We start from the raw sequence: 18,405 nt of genomic DNA on the forward strand, positions 1-18,405 counted from the left end.
TTCAACATGGGTTGATTTTCAAATGTTTAATGGAAATAAAGACTAATTTTCTAGGGCTTTTAAGTGCTATGTTAAAAAGTCCTCTAGATGCACATATCTTTACATTTGGAGATTACGGTTATCATTTTCAATATTACATGCTTTGAAATAACTACTCAGAAGAAAGAGATCAACAGGAACAAAATATCACAATAGCCTTAACCACATGGGATAATACTTTCTATGTTAACCATCATAACTATCTCTGCTTCAGAGAGAACAAGTGTTTTTTCTTTACAATGATGTTCCATAGGCAAGTAATGAGTTACTGCATAATATTAGAAAATAGTGAGGAAAATAAGTCACATTATACTCATTTTTCCCAAAGTAAAGCTTGCAATGTCTTAGAAAAGACTTCTGGCTTGGCTTCCTGTTGGTTTCTGGCTTTGGTCTCAATCTCTATTGTTCTCTACTCAACATGTAATCATCATTAAGGCATGTGATACAGTGCAGCCAAAACCTAGCTATAAAACAGCAGGTATGGCATGATTCCCTTTCAGAACATAAATGTAAATACAGAGTGTGTATATGCATAAAGAGTTTGGAAGGATTTTCAAGTGATTGTCTTTGGGTAAGATTATAGGTATTCTCTGGTCTCTTGGTTTTGCTTATTTATATATCCTGATTTTCTATAATGAATATGTATGAGTTTTATATTTTAAAAAATTTTAATAAACTCGTTTTTGTTCTACCTATAGACTTACAGAGAGTTTGGGTCAGCAAATCCAGTGCACCGTGCTTCCTAGCCAGTTAGATTCTTTATAACATCTTTGGAAAATAAATAAGCTTATCTAATAATGAGTTCTGAAATTTCTGAAGTCAGAGGCAGATAGCTGGGCAAGCCTCAGGAATATCTCATGCCTAATGGTACTCAACATAGCAATAATTCATAAGAGTCCAAAGGCCAAAGGAGGGAGGTAGAATCAAAAGGGTAGCTAGAGTAATTCTGACCCTGGCAAGAGGAAATCTGCATTTGATCGAAGCACTGGTGTGGTTCAGATAGATCTGGATGTGAGTCACGGCTCTAGCACTTGAAGAAAAATAGTTGTATAAGGATAAACAACTTATTTATCTGTGCGTCAGTTTACTCATTTTTAAAATGAGAAAAATAATGGTAACCATGTCTTGTGAAGACCATGGTTCCCAAAAAGTTGGAGTCAAGAACTTAAAATGGCAGGCTCTGATCATATACCTTCTGTCCATAACTCTGAATTTTCTCCCAAAGTGGAATAGCAGGACTTGTTATTCATAACCTGAATCATGGTTCAAATAAGAACCTTTAAGTAGCTATTTAAGATTATCAAAGATCTGAAAACATAGCAAAAAAATTAGCTCAAAATATCAGAGAAAGCAGAAGAAGCCCAAAGATGGAAGCAGAGTACTAAAGCTTTTTTTGCCCTAAGCGCATTTTCCAAAAAAAAAAAACAAAAACAAAAAAGCAAACTTCTCTAAATTAAATGGGATCTCAAAGACTTAACACCCTCAGAATAAGAGTAAGTGCTACCCCCAGCCCTCCTTCACTCTCAGGGGACTGACTTAAAGTTGTCTGAGCACTGAATAGAGCAGAGAGAAAAAAATGACATCAAAAAGCTATCCTCACTTAGATTTGCAGAATAATAATTCCTTGATTAGAAATATTCTAATTTATTTTTACCAATCAGCTATTTTCCTCCAAAATCACTTCCACCCTTTGGATGGATAATTTTGCCCTTCGACATTTTTTAAAGCTAAGTAATCACATTAGCTAAGTAATCAAAAACGAAACAACAATAACAACAAAAATTAAGGTGACAAATTCAATTTAGGGTGGTCTTGAAGGTACTTCTCTTAGGTGCCTGGCTAAGCAGATTTAACTCCTGTATGGAGGGAGTACCTTTATCCTAGGTCTCAAAACCCACAGATAGTGATTTTCAAGGACATTAAATAGCTCAGAATAAAAAGAAATGCAAGTATGTTAGGGAAAAATGCAAAAGAACAACTATGTCAGGAAGAAAAATAGAAAAAGACAAATGACCAAAACAGACCTATACACATAAATTATAAGGCACAGTTTATAAGACACTTACGATTATCAAGGTGTAATAAACAAAATAAGAATAAAAATTAAGCTTTAAAATATATGCAGGACACTATAAAAATATGTTCTAACAGATTTGATAAAGTACAAAAGAGAACTTCTAGAAACAAAAAATATAGAAATTGAAATAAAAAACACAATAAATCCATATAACAGCAGATTAGAAACAGCCAAAGAGAAAGCAGGCAAATGGGAGTATTAGTCAGATGAAATTATCCAGAATACGAGGAGAAAAAAAAAAAGCAGGGAAATGAAGAAGTTAAGACTCAGGGGATGATATAGTAAGAAGGCCTAATCTATTTTATGGGAGTTCTAAAAAGAGGATAGAGAGAATTGGCAAGAATTATTTAAAGAGAAAATGAGTGTTTTCTAGAAAGTAATAAGAAACAACTGTCCACAGGTTCAGTTTGAGAAGCTGTTAAGATCCAAAGCAGTATTAAATAAAAAAGGAAGAAAGCAACACACACTTGGAAACATCACAATGAAACTACAGAATACTAAAGACAATATATACAATCTTAAGAACAGTAATAATATAATAAAAAGACAAGGCCGGGCACGGTGGCTCACGCCTGTAATCCACTACTTTGGGAGGCCGAGGTGGGCAGATCACGAGGTCAGGGGATCGAGACCATCCTGGCTAACATGGTGAAACCCCATCTCTACTAAAAATACAAAAAAAAAAAAAAAAAAAAAAAAAAAAGCCGGGCGTGGTGGCAGGCTCCTGTAGTCCCAGCTACTCGGGAGGCTGACTCAGGAGAATGGCATGAACCCGGAAGGCAGAGCGAGCAGTGAGCGCAGATCACGCCACTGCACTCCAGCCTGGGTGACAGAGCAAGACTCTGTCTCAAAAAAAAAAAAAAAAGAGACAAATTGACTGGACATCTGACATCTTGATAGCCACAATGGAAGTCAAAAGACAGTAGAATTAATCTTCATTATGGTAAAATAAAATACTTAAAAAATTAGAATTCCATATCCAGAGAAAACATCTTTTAAGAGTGTTTTAAACCCTCTACACAGGGACAGGATAGACCCTCACCAAAAATCTGGTTTGGATGTTGAGAATGATGATGTCATACACACACCAAGAAGATGTGAAAAGATGTATTACTTATGTAATTGAGTCTTTTCTGGGAAGAGCTTAGAGGGCAAGGAAAGGAGATTGGCATGGGGCTTTTATAGTGGTAAGGAGGTGGACCCAAAGTGAGGGCTCCCACATGTGGGCAGGAGCTTATGTGCTACCACTCGTACCAAGGAGAGAACACTTTGGCTTTTTTATAAGCTTGCCCAGTTGTGGATCATAGGGAAAGAAAAATAAGATGAGGCTTAAAAGCAGTCAGCAGTTAAACACCAAAAAATGAAGTTAGAGTCCTTATTACAAACAGTAATAGAGGAAATAAAGACTTCTTTTAAACAAATAAAAACTGAAGATTTGCCACTGGAATATTCTCACTAAAGAAAATAAAATTTTTTGAGAAGGCAGAAGGAATCCCAAGAGGAAGTTCTCAGATACAAGAAGAAGATAAAAGAAAGAGCTAAATATGTGGACTCATTCAAATGAACATTGACACGAAATTAGTGACAATTCTTGGAAAGAATTTAGACACATGTATGACAAAATTATGTATGTTTGAAAGGGAGTAAATGAAGTTAACGTGTTAAAGGTATTGATTAGCTGGAGAAAGTGTCTGGAGAAACTGTAAAGGTATTGATTAGCTTTAGATTTTGATAAGTATACCTCCTGCAATTTCTAGGAAAAATAAATAAAAGAATGAAAATAAAGTGTATTATTTCCATATGAATACAAAAAATAGAATGATGAAAAATAATTAGAGAATACAAAATACAATGGCAAATTTAACACTGATTGCATTAAACACAAAAGTAAATGAACCAACAGCCCCAATTCTCCAATTAAAAAATAAATGGCAGACTGAATAAAAACAAAATCAATTCATAATGATGTTTATAAAAGACATATCTACAAAATAAAGATACAAAATATTGATACTAAGAAGATAGAAAAAGAAAGAACGTGAACATATCAACCAGAAGAAAAGTGGTGTAGCTATATTAGCAAAAGTATAGATTTTAAAACAAAAAGTATTGACAAAGAATGTTACTTTATTGTAATAAAGATTTAATCTACACTTGTCTTGCTAATTATTGGATGGACAGAAAAAAGTCAATGAGAATAAAGAAGATTTAAATAACATGATTAACAAACTTGACCTAATAACCTGTGTGGAACATTATACTCAGCAACTACACAACAGATTTCTTCCCCAAGTACACACAGAACACTTACAAAAATTCACCATATGATGATCCATAAAGCAAGTTTTAAACAACTTCTAAGAACTGAAATTATACAGAGCATTTTCTCTGATCAGACCTCAATTAAACAGAAATCATTAAACAAAAATAAAACTAGAAAATCTCCCATCAGTTTGGAAATTAGAGAAATATTGTTCTAAATAACTATGGCTCAACAAAGGAATCTAATGGAAATTGCACATCTAAAAATGCATGGTAATGAAATACACTACATATAAAAACTTGTGAGATATAACTAAAGCAATACAAATTTATTAGTGAAAATTCGGAAAAGTTATGAAGGGCAATGACTACTTTCCCATTTCTAAATTGTGTAAAAATAGAAAAAAAACCCACCCAAAACAAACAAAAGGGAGTGAAAGTAAAATAGTATATAAACTAGATTTAATAAAACAGAATGTGTTGAAAAACTAAAGGTGGTTCCTTGAAAGGAGTAAAATTGTAAAACATTTAGTGATAAAGAATAAAGAAAAGGTAAAAGGCATTGAAGAAAGAAATATGAAGAATGAAACAGAATATGACTGCAGATGGTGCCATCATTAAAAAGATAAAAAGAGGGCCGGGCACGGTGGCTCACGCCTGTAATCCCAGCACTTTGAGAGGCCGAGGCGGGTGGATCACGAGGTCAGGAGATCAAGACCATCCTGGCCAACATGGTGAAACCCCGTCTCTACTAAAAATACAAAAAATTAGCCGGGCGTGGTGGCGGGCGCCTGTAGTCCCAGCTACTCAGGAGGCTGAGGCAGGAGAATGGCATGAACCTGGGAGGCGGAGCCTGCAGTGAGCCGAGATCGTGCCACTGCACTCCAGCCTGGGTGACAGAGCGAGACTCAGTCTCAAAAAAAAAAAAAAAAAGATAAAAAGAGAATGTTACAAAAAACTTCCTCTCAACACATTTAAGTATTTAAGTACGACATTTAACAAAATTGGCTAGATACTTTAGTAGTCTAATAACTATTGAGAAAAATTGAAATGATACTCAAAAATTTTCCGACAAATAGAAGTTCAGGTTCAGATAGCTTCACCAGTGAGTTCTATTATACATTCAAGAACAAAACAATCCTATAAAAATTAACCCCCAAAATAGAAAAACAAAGGAGCTCTTCTTCAGTTCTTTTTATGAGGGCAACTTTACCTTGATACCAACCCCTAATGATGACATACACACAAGAAAAATTATAGGTCAATGTCATTCATGAACATAGATATGAAATTCCTAAAAAATTTATTACTTAAACAATTCCAGCAATTTAAAAAGGTAATACAGCATGAATAATTTGGTTGTAAACCAAATTATTGTTGTATGCAAGGTAAATTAAACATGAGTAAATAATGTATTTTACATTGATAGATTAAAGGAGAAAACATAATTATTTCAATAAGAGGCAAAAAATTGATAAATGTGTAAACTCATTTTTACTAAAAAAAGAGATAGCTTAGCAAACTAGAAATTAAAATAATTTTTTAAAAAAACAATAGGTTATCTCTCTTCTAAACGATAGTAATCACTTTTTTTTTTTTTTTTTTTTTTTTGAGACAGAGTCTCACTGTGTCGCCCAGGTTGGAGTGCAGTGGAGTGATCTCTGCTCACTGCAACTTCCGCCTCCTGGATTCAAGTAATTCCCCTGCCTCAGCTTCCCCAGTAGCTGGGATTACAGGAGCCAGCCACCATGCCTGGCTAATTTTTGTATTTTTAGTAGAGACGGGGTTTTGCCATGTTGGCCAGGCTGGTCTCAAATTCCTGACCTCAAGTGATCTGCCCGCCTTGCCTTCTGAAAGTGCTGGAACTACAGGCGTGAGCCACCACACCCGGCCGTAATCATCACATTTAAAGATGAAATACTGAGATTTCCTCATTTCGCATCTTTGAGATTTCCATCTTTGAGACTGGAAAAGATAAGGATATTCATTTTCACTTCTACTGAGCATTGTTCTAGAGGTCACAGCCAGTACAAGGCAAAGCAGAAGAAATAAAATATAAGGATTAGAAAGAAGGAAACTAAACTGCCATTATTCTTACATAATTGTACATGTAGAAAATCCAAACTAATCTAGTAATTATTAGAATAGGAGACTCTACCAAGTCCCCTGATGCAAAATTGACATATGAAAATCAATTGCATTTCTATACATCAGCAAAAGACAGTTAGAAAATAACATTTAAAAGATACTGATTACATTAACGTCAAAAGGGTTGAGTAAAAATAAATCTAACAAAAAATTTATTCCAAAATTGAATACATGAAAATACAAACAATCTCATTAATAATTATGGTTATGCAAACAATTATGATTATGTAAAATTTAAAAATGCAAGTGATACCATTTCCACTAAATTGGCTAAAACTAAAAACCCTGGTATTACCAAGTATTGAGGAAGCTGCTGAGTGACAGGAATTCTAAAACACTTCTAGTGAGAGTATAAAACAAAAAAACCACCTTGCAAAACCATTTGACATTTAATAGTCATGCTGAAGATGTCATGACTTCTTCATGAAGACCCATTATTTCTACTCCTGGGTACATCCACTCTAGAGAAATTATTGTACATTTGCGCCAAAATACTTATGCAATAATGTATACATAGAAGCATTTTTGCAAAATCCCTAACTGAAAACAACCCAAATGTCTGTCAAGAATAAAATATGTAAATAAATGTTGGTGTAATTATAGAGTGGAGTATTATGCAATGATGAAAATGAACAAACTATAGCTACTCAGTCACTTGAATCAGGGGTTGGCAAACTATAGACCCAAATTTGATCTGTTTTTGTAAACAAAGCTTTAGTGGAACACAACCATGCTTATCCATTTACATGTTGTCTGTGGCTACTTTCAAGCTGCGATAGCAGAACTGAGTACCTGCCACAGAAATCATGTGGTCCACAAAGCCAAAAATTTTCACCAGGTGGCCCTTAACAGAGTCAGATGTCAACTCCTAACTTAAATGAATCTTGCAAGCATAATGTTGACCCCCCAAAAAAGTAACCAAGAGAATACATACCAAATTATTTCATTTGCATTAAGAACCTGATGAAACTACATTATATTGTTTAGGGATGCATACATATGTTGTAGAATTTTAAAGCAACACAAGGAAATGATCATCTCAAAAGGATTGAACTGAGTTACCTCTAGGGAGGATCAAGGGGTTGGGATGGGAGAAGAAATCAAAGGGAATTGGGAGCTAACAATGACATTCCTTAATCTGGGCAGGAGATACATAGGAACTTTATCCAATAACCTTAGTGTGTGGGGGTGTGTGCCTGTGTTTTACATAATTTTCTGGTTGTATGCTAAATTTTTCACTTAAAGTAAAACACAATAAAGTACTTCCACCATTATCTAGCTTATAATTTTAAAGCAAACTGTAAAGTAAAATGTTTCAATTATATTCAAATTTAAACAAGAAAGACTTAGTCCTATATACATAAAAATAACAATAGACTCAAGTTCTGATTACCCTTTTCTCATTCTTTCTAAATTTCAAACATGATTTATATCAAAATGTTAAGAACAGCCAATGCAAAGAAAATTGTTTGCCAAGCTTCAGTCACATAATAAACTATTTTTCTTTTCTAGAAATGCAAATCCTGGGATAGAATGCCAGTGTGTATAACATATTAGCTAGTGTTAACACAGAAATTCCACTCTTGCCAAAATAGCTTTAAGAAAACAAGTTTTCCTTTTTAAAAGTAATCATATTTTTCCTTTGCTTATTAGCATTTAGTATACAAACATACAAAAATGGCTCCTAATTATTTAGTAGCAGCTTTACTGAAATGTAGTCCATATACGGTAGAATTCACCCATTTAAAATGTACAATTTGGCTGGGTGTAGTGGCTCACGCCTGTAATCCCAGCACTTTGGGAGGCCAAGGCAGGAAGTTCACCTGAGGTTAGGAATTCAAGACCAGCCTGCCCAACACGGCAAAACCCTGTCTCTACTAAAAATACAAAAATTAGCCGGGCGTGGTGGTGCATGCCTGCAATCCCAGCTACTTGGGAGGCTGAGGCAGGGAGAATCACCTAAATCCGGGAGGCAGAGGTTGCAGCGAGCCAAGATCGCGCCATTGCACTCCAGCCTGGGTGACAGAGCAAGACTCCATCTCAAAAATAAAATAAGTAAAATGTACAATTCATTGGATTTTCGTGTACTCTCAGAGTTATGCAACCATCACCACAATCAATGTTAGAACATTTTATCATCTCCATAAGAAACCTAGTACCCTTTAGCAATCACCCTCTCAAACCCCCATCTCCTTTCTCCCCCAGTCCTAGTCAAGCACCCACTATTTATTTTATATCTATATAGATTTGCCTATTCTGAACATTTAATGGAAGTGAAAGCATATGACACGTGGTCTTTTTTGCCTGGCTTCTTTCCCTTTGCATAAGGTTTCGAGATTCATCCATGTTGCATGTGTCAGTACCTCATTTCTTTCTATGGCTGAATAGTATTCCGTTGTATGGATATACCACATTTTGTTTATCCATTCATCAGCAGACAGACATTTGAGCTGTTTCCACCTTTTGACTGCTATGAAAAATGATGCTATGAAGATTTGTGTACCAGTTTTTCTATGAACACTTACTTTTCTCTTGGGTATATGTTGACGAATGGAATTAATGCTAATATTTTAATATTTGACTGTAAGTCAGAAGACAAATTATAATACTTCATTTTAATAGAGAGTAGATGCTGTGAAATAAATTTCTATTTAGTTTTCTAAAGCTAATTATCACATCACTTGGAAGTACATATAGCTTTTACTGTGATAATACATTACAATTAACATTACATTTATTCTTGTGACCACTATAATCAAATTTGTTCAACTGGAATATATGAATTTCAGGAAATACTAGCCTTTTAAATTCATGGAAATTTTAAAAAATGTTTCTCATTTATTGAGAATTCTCCAGGCTAAAATAAAAATCCTTCTAATTTTCTTTATTTAAAAATAGAACTTTTTTTTAAATGGGGTCTCGCTCTGTCACCCAGACTGGAGCGCAGTGGCACCAACTCAGCTCACCACAACCTCTGCTTCCTGGGTTCAAGCAATTCTGCCTCAGCCTCCCGAGTAGCTGGGATTATAGGCATGCGCCACCACACCCAGCTAATTTTTGTATTTCTGATAGAGACAGGTTTTCACCATGTTGGCTAGGCTCGTCTCAAACTCCTGATCTCAGGTGATCTGCCCTCCTTGGTCTCCCAAAGTGCTGGGATTACAGGCATGAGCCGCCGTGCCTGGCCAGAAATAGAAATTTTATGACATATCATCCACTTGTATAGTCAGAACCCAACTGCGTAACTCCAAATATGGTTACCATTTTTTAATAATACCAAGTCTTCTGTAATTTAAAATGATTTTTAAAAGCAGGCTAAAACAAATGGATAATTTGAAAATTTAGCACAAAACTATTAACTAAGATTTTCTTAAAAGGTATTCTGTAAAACTACATCTTTGTTCGAGATTTATCTATTTGCATAGCAGTATAACAACCAAAATTTCCAATTTTGGTATTACCATTTTGACTTAAAAATAAACATAAATAATGGACGCATTATTTACCAAGAACTACTATAATCAGGTGGCACTAACTTTCCCCCCAAATCCACCCAGATTCTAAGATAGGTAACCAAAGAGAAACGGAAAAATTAAGAGTTGATAGGAATTAAGGAGAAAGAGATGGAGAGAGATGGCAAAAAAGGAAAAACAATAGAAAGGAGATGTGGTTGGATTCCATTCTTGCTGAGAAAATCTACCGAAATATATATGGTTCCCGCAGTATGCACTTTGGATGGATATGTAAGTAATGGAAGAAAGACACAGAAGGGTGACAGGACAAAACCGAGCATCACATTTGGCCAATTGGCCCTTATGACAGGCAGGGATTCACACAACATCTCTGCAGCCAAAAATGTACATACGTGCAAAAACAACCTTGTCTGCTGGAGGACTCAGGGAAGAGAAGGACCCTGAAGTAGCTTCAAAGAACATCAGCATCCTTCACTCTAATTAAAACCTACTTTTATTTCATTTATATAAGGGTGTCAGGTTCGATTAGAAGCCACGTACAATTTGGCTCTGAGAAGAACGGTAGCTTTCTCTCATGAAGAAAAACGAAGAGAAGTAATTCCTAAATGTTACCCTCAGAGATTCCCAGGGCACCATGCGCACTCACAATGTCTTAATGTCCCTGGGGAGGTGGCTACAGGCTCTGTTGTCAGCTGTATGGAGAGCTTTCAGGCTCCCCTGAAATAGAAATACAGTATTCTTAGTTAACTGGATACACAAATTCATTAAGCAAGCAAAGCATGGCAAAGTCTATCCTCCATTTGCAGTTCTGTGCCCCAATGGGAGAAGAGTATAACTGCATTCTCTGTGGTTTATCTGTGTATACTCATCTGGGCGTATATCGTGTACATGCCTTCTTATTGCATGCGGTTCCAAAATACTTCGTTCAAGTTTCCTTATTAGCAGCAAGTGGGTCTGTTGAAGCTTAACAAAGCCATTTAATAAAAATAGAGCCACCCAAATGAACATGGATTGAAAAAAAATTTTAGATTGATGGAGCGAGGTTGGTCACTGTAATTACGGAAGGTGTATCATTTCCTAAGCTCTCTTTGCATTAAGTGTATGCCATACATACATCAGACATAATTAGCACTTTAGGTGACAATGATTTGATTTCTTTCCTTGTAATAAAAGCCCTCTGCGTTGGCATATACATTCAGAACGGGAAATTGAACACTGTTGCTGTTTATTCACCCGAGGCAAAATTTAGGACGAACTAGGGAAAATACAAGGAGGGCTTACAGAACAGCCCTTTGTGAATTTTGCAAACAGAAAAAGAAAATAGTTCAATAAAAAGCTTTTAAGGATCACAGTCAAACGTGTGCCTTTTAAAAGCAAAGGATTTCTATGGAACGCTTCTCTACTTTTAAAGTCAGCATTTAACTTTCCTTTAGATGTGAACAAACCCACACTAAATTGATTTGTAGACACAACTGCAAAACTGGACACATTTAAATTACTGTGTATGAACCAGAAAAATATTTGTGCTGCCTTCTCTGAGGGCACAGAAGAAAATGGTTTTTAAAATTATTTCTAATAAATATCAATCCTTCCTGCTCCTTCTCTGCCACAATTAAGAATCATGTTAATCTGCATTTCTGTGGATTAAACCATTTATATAAACATTAAAGATTTTTTTAAAAGGGAAAAAGGAGAAACTGAAATGCAAGTTGCTGATCTGTTGTATATGGCTCATAAGGGATACTACATCCTCTTGAAATCTGTAGCCCCACGAGAAACACAATGAAAACGTGCTTTTGCATTTAAATCTTCTTGAAAACCCATTTTCTTCTCTTTTTCATCAAAAACAAAATGTGACAGGTGGGTTAGTTAATTCCTTTATTGCATAAGTTAATCAGAAATTAAGTCATAGATAATGATTGTTAAAATAAACATCTCTAAACTAAACCTAATTTTGTTAGTTAACTTCATGCAAACCTTCCCACTTGCATAGAACTTGCTGACCTTTTGCTTTAATCCTAGGATCTATCTGTTCTACTAATATGCTGATCTACACGTATCTACTGACCAGTTAGAGGGTGAATTGCATACCCATATCTACTCCAATGATTCTAAAATCCTCACAGTGTCACAAAAGTGAAGACTGTATGAGAGATGCTTAAACTGCACATAACACAGCTGTTCCTAAGGATCTTCATTTAACATTTTCTTAAACTTCTATGGACATTTTACTGACTTAAATAAGAATATCTGAAAATAAAGGAAATAAAGGGTCCGGTTTCTTGTGTGAGTTCCTATTTCAGAAACTTATAAATAATAAACCAGAAGCAAAGAAGCCTTTGAAAAATCAGTATGAAGAGTAGGTTATGATGTAAACACATTTTGCCTCAATTGTAAAAAACAAACAAAAAACAGAAAGAAAATACAGTACCTGCTTAGAGCTTTGCAGAGTTAACTCACTGTAATTTGGAACATATAAGCATGAAAGGAGTTCAACAGTTGGATACATCATATACTTTTCCAAGCACAGATTTTTAATAAAGGATGTATGGCCGGGTGTGCTGGCTCACGCCTATAATCCCAGCACTTTGGGAGGCAGAGGCAGGCAGATCAGTTGAGGTTGGAAGTTTGAGACCATCCTGCCCAACATGGCAAAACCCTGTCTCTACAAAAAATACAAAAAATTAGTCAGGCGTGGTGGTGCATGCTTGTAATCCCAGCTACTTGTGAGGCTGAGGCAGGAGAATCACTTGAACCCGGGAGGTGAAGGTTGCAGTGAGTTGAGATCCTGCCTCTGCACTCCAGCCTGGACAACAAAGCAAGACTCCATCTCAGAAAAAAAAAAAAAAAAAAAAAGGATGTGTGAGGTATTAGTAATGGTTTCAAACAATAATTTCTCTTATCTAAAATTTAACTTGAGCCAGATGGAGTTTAAGGTCACAGACAATAAAAAGTACTATTTATGTATTCTCCCAGATGATTGTATATTATTCTGTTTTCTCAACATAAGAAAGATTTCATTTAGAAACTCAAATCTGATTTTTTCAGGTTTGCACCTATAACGTAGGTCATTCTTTTTTTTTTGTTTTTTTTTTTAAGGATAGACACAACGGACCAATTTTTTTTTTTTTTAAGAAAGAATCATGTTACACAAGAACTCAGGGTTGCCAAGCCAGGCTGTACTTGATAAAATGCTGTGGCAGGTGACAGCTGAGCTGCACTCTCTGATCATGCATTATTATGTGAAAGAGAGTTATGTTAAAACCCTGATATTACAAGGTGATATAATCACCTGTTACAGAAATAGTTGTTAAATCAACTAGTTACTAAATAGCATTATAACCAATTATTAGCACTTTTGCGCAAGTGTAAAGCCTTTTCCCAGATTTTTTTGGCTTCATACACAGAATTTTACATCTGTGACATGAGATTCTTTTTTTCTCTCTCACGCAGAAATATTAAATATCCATGACCCACGGTCACAGCGTTTCTCCCTTATTTCTCATTAGATGGATATCTCTTACCTTGACGAGACACATGCACGTATATACATAACATACATATGGGATGTCAGAAAACACTTTCGATTTTTCTTCCATACCCCCCTAGGATGATGTGGGAACCTTATGTCAAAAGCCCTCACTTTAGAACAATAAATAAATAAACCAGCCACAGCCTTCCTGAGGCTGGCAAACTCTAGCATAAGTAATTCAAGAGGCTGAGAGATGCCAGATAAATTTGATTACTATAAAAGATGGGAATATGTTTCTTTCCTTTGAGAATTCACAAAAAGGGGTCAAAAACAAAGCAATGCTGAAAGCGAACAATTTCATTTCGCCTGCAATTCAAGGCGAAAATTCAAAGGCAATTTTGCAAGAACATTTTATCACAATTTTATAGACCCTCATTTCCTGCACACATCACAATCTTTAATTTCTAAAAGAAGAAGGCAAGCAAAGGGGAAGTGGGCGGGGGAGAAGGGGTGAGGAGGCAGAGGCCAACCGTGAGGGGCTTTTTTTTCTTCTTCTTTAAGATATAAATGCAGATATTTATAAAGCAGTGAGAGATTTGTAAATCTTTCTTCAAAGCTGAACCTACTGCTGGGATCGTGATTTGCTAAAAGCTGCTATAGGCATACTCCAAAACTCAGCAGGGTCATCTCTTCCCTTCCAAAAAAATAAAATAAAATAAAAAAGAAAAGAGGTTGGGTTGAGTGGGGGAGGAGTGAAAGCCATTCTGATTTGTAGCGTCTTGACAGACATGAGTTTGAGAAAACTGTTTGCATTTCATACCTTCTCCTTGACTATTTTTCCTTTCCAAAGACACAACAAGAACATCTGAAATTCAGTAGCTTGCTTCCCATCTTTTTGTCTAATTGACTCTCCTTGATGCTGTTTGGAAATGGCAGGTCATTTCTCAAAGCCAAGCTGTCAGGTAGCCCTTTAGCAGGTCACGATCTAAAGACAAATGCAACAGGCATTCATCCAAGGGCACCTTGACCACCTCCACTCCCCACCCTGCAGGTCTTGCCTGGTACAATGAATGGCACAGTTCATGTGGAGCACAAAGATCTAGTTTCCAGTTCCAATTTTGCCAACAACTTCCTGTATGATCCAAAGGAAAGCCACAAACTTGCTCTCATTTCCTAGTGGGAATAAAAAATAGAAGTCCTACTGGCTTTCCAAGATAGCAAGGATAACAGAAAGCAACACGGGTTTGAAAGCCCTTGGCTCATTTTGTACATAAATGCATCCCTAAGACCCAGAATGTGTCTGGGACAAAGGAGATGCTGAATAAATGTTTGTTAACTAAGGAATGAATGCATCTGGGGAAGCGTAAGCCATGAAAATCAGAGTAAAACTGTCATAGTAGATATTAAAACAAAACCAAGATGGGTAGTGCTAAGAATCCACTATCTCTGAGAGGGAAATGGACTGGCTTTAGGATATGGCAGGTATTTCTTTCTCATTGGAGCAATTAACCTCTATGTTCTGTAACCACCCCCACCTCAGTCTCATGCACTGACACATTTACAACCTACTCAAAGCCTCAGCAGGCCATCGAGCTCAGAGGAACTTTGGGGAACACCACCCATTTAGAGATGCAGCAGAGTAACTTCAGACTTTTCTCTAGATAGACAAATTGTTTTCAAAGAGAACTGAATATAAAATAATTTTACTCTGGGAAGGGAATGTCATTTTTAAAAAAGAAAAGGAAAGAAGTGTGAGAAAAAGAAAACTCTTTTGCAAGTCAGTTTTCCAAACTGAACCAGGCACTGCTGTCACCTAGGAGGGCAACGTAACTTTGCCAAACAGTATTGCTGACCTTTTTCTGCACATCTAGAAGCCTTGTTTTCTAGAGGGAAATCTTGAGATGGGCTAGCACTATTTAGTGCTGACCTAATTCCCATGAAAAACAAAGAACTACCATAAATGGAGAAACTGGGCTTTGACAATTGCATCAATATCTAATACAAAAATCGAAGATGGCTTAAGGTTAAAGGATGCATATCCAGCATAGTGCTATATGCAGTACATATATTCGTTCTATGTAACAACCACATATTTATATTCTTTCAGAAACTTGCTTTTTATAATGCTAGTCCCTGATTCAGTGATTGCAAGTGATTTAAAAAAATCAATCCATATCCACAAATAGTCACCAATATATACTGAAATTTGAAATCCCATAGTATTTGCCATTTTGGACTTCCCATCACAAGGAGCATCCATATTCATTCATCTACCAAGAGATCACCAGCAATATACCCGGTGTCATTTAGATGTCCATTAAGATGAGATACAGCACAAATTATAAAAACACTCCTTTGGAAGAGCTACCACCTGGTTACAGCAGGACCAAAAAAGGCAGACATGTATAAGGTGTACCAAAGAGGAAATTTTAACAGAGCATTCAGATACACCCGGAGGAAAGTAATTATAAAGGACAATAACTTTTCCTTTCCGTATACCAATATTTTTTTGCACACAGCTAACACTTAGTTAATGCATTTCCATAGGAGTTTTATTCCATTTAAAATATGTAATGGGATAAACATAGTCAGCAGCACAGTCATGGTCCATTAGAGAGGGCAGATGTATTTATTCATTTATTTAACAAATATTGTGTTAGTGCCTCTTGTCTGCTGAAGAGTGCAGAGTGATTAAGAGCACTATTGTCCCTGCTCTCACGGAGTTTACAGTCTAATGTAGAGGATGAATACAAAAGTAAGTAATTAAATATAGTGTGACAAATGCAATGAAAGTGGTCATAACAGGTGCTTGGGGACCATTGAAGAGATGATCTTTCTGATCATCATTGCACTTTTTTTTTTTTTTTTGGTGAGACAGAGTCTCGCTCTGTTGCGCAGGCTGGAGTGCACTGGTGCCATCCTGGCTCATTGCAACCTCCACCTCCCAGGTCCAAGTAATTATCCTGCCTCAGCCTCCCGAGTAGCTGGGATTACAGGCTCCAGCCACCATGCCCAGCTAATTTTTGTATTTTTAGTAGAGACGGGGTTCCACCATGTTGGCCAGGCTGGCCTCGAACTCCTGACCTCAAGTGATACACCCACCTCGGCCTCCCAAAGTGTTGGGATTACAGGCATGAGCCACCATGCCTGGCCTGACCATTGTACATTTAAGAAGAGGATGCTGAGACCCAGGAAGAGGGCAGTGATTTGCCCAGGGTGATACAGAGATTGCTCCACCAAAGTGAAGGATATGGCAGTGGGATTGTGACCTAAGAAAATGAACAAATTCCAGGATATCTGCTTTACTAAGATAATTCATTTTAAAAGCAGATGAGATACAAATAAATTTTAAAACCCCACATAAATAGAGAGATGATTTGGCATCACTGTGGACCAAATGATTTTTTACTGTACCACATGACCAGTTTTGTGACTTTTCTTCAATAACTTTTTTTTTTTTTTTTTTTTTTTTTTAAGGCAGAGTCTTGCTCTGTCACCCAGGTGGAGTCTCACTCTGTCGCCCAGGCTCACTGCAAGGTCTGCCTCCCGGGTTCATGCCATTCTTCTGCCTCAACTTCATGAGTAACTGGGACTACAGGAGACCACCACCACGCCCGGCTAATTTTTTTGTATTTTTAGTAGAGACAGGATTTCACCGTGTTAGCCAGTATGGTCTCGATCTCCTGACCTTGCGATCCACCCACCTCAGCCTCCCAAAGTGCTGGGGTTACAGGCGTGAGCCACCGCACCCAGCTGCCTTTTCTTCAATAACTTTTAAGCGACCTGAGTGGCAGTTTGTGGGCTGGAGAGTTTGATCGGATATGGAAAAATGGACATACAGATTGGTTTAAAGGATTTAAATCTCCATGTCCTATAAAGCCAGTAGATCCATCACTCACATAGCAGAGAAGTTACATGGGATCACATCATGTCATATTCATGTCTCAAAAGAGTTACCTGTTCCAATATGAAATAATTAAACCTTCTAAAATTGTGCTGCTTTTTTCATATACAAAATGTTTGTGTTTCAGAGAGCTCTTATTATCAAATATAAGGTCTTTGGCCATCTCCACAAAAATACTAAGGGAGTTTTAAAGATTCCTTGAAGGGATGATGGAAAGTTTCTGAACAAAACCTCCTGAGACAGAAAATGCTCCCATATGAAGCCTTGAAGTTTCTACTACAGGAAATGTGAGGACATCACGTCAGATCTGTGAATCTCAGACTGCTGGACCCTTCTCTTTATAGTCACACTTGCTGAAGTATAATTTACATGAAATAAAATTCACTCTTTTTAGTGTACGGGTGTATGAATTTTGTCAAATGCACAGTCATGCCACCACCACTACAACCGAGATACTGAAAAGTTCCATCACTCCTCCCAAATCCCCTTGTACTCTCAAGTCAATCCATCTGCCCTGTCCTGCCCTTAGCAACGACTGATCTGTTCTCTTTACCTGGTTTTGCTTTTTCCAGAATGCAATGAAATGGAATCTGCAGCATGGAGATGTTTGAGTCTGGCTTCTTTCACTTAACACAATGCCTATGGGATTCATCCACGTTATTGAGTTTATCAGTAGTTCATTCTTGTTATTGCTGAGTAATATTCCATTGTACAGATATACAACTTATTTATTTATTTGTTTTTGAGACGGGAGTCTCACTCCGTCACCCAGGCTAGAGTGCAGTGGCACCATCTCGGCTCACTACAACCTCCACCTCTCGGGTTCAAGCGATTCTCCTGCCTCAGCCTCCCAAGTAGCTGGGATTACAGGTGCCCGCCACCACGCCCGGCTAATTTTTGTATTTTTAGTAGAGATGGGATTTTGCCATGTTGCCCAGACTGGTCTCGAACTCTTGACCTTGTGATCCACCCGCCTCAGCCTCCCAAAGGGCTGTGATTACAGGCGTGAGCCACCACACCCAGCTGGATA

The 18,405-nt window shown here is 36.9% G+C and overlaps 1 protein-coding gene across 1 annotated transcript in view; it reads right to left on the bottom strand.

Moving 5' to 3' along the window:
- Positions 1 to 18,405, bottom strand: part of ZFHX3 (zinc finger homeobox 3) — a 1,109,046-nt gene that overhangs the window by 866,005 nt on the left and 224,636 nt on the right. The gene's annotated exons all lie outside the window — the stretch shown is intronic.

Source organism: Homo sapiens, chromosome 16 (assembly GCF_000001405.40).
Source record: "Homo sapiens chromosome 16, GRCh38.p14 Primary Assembly".
Classification (NCBI taxonomy): domain Eukaryota; kingdom Metazoa; phylum Chordata; class Mammalia; order Primates; family Hominidae; genus Homo; species Homo sapiens.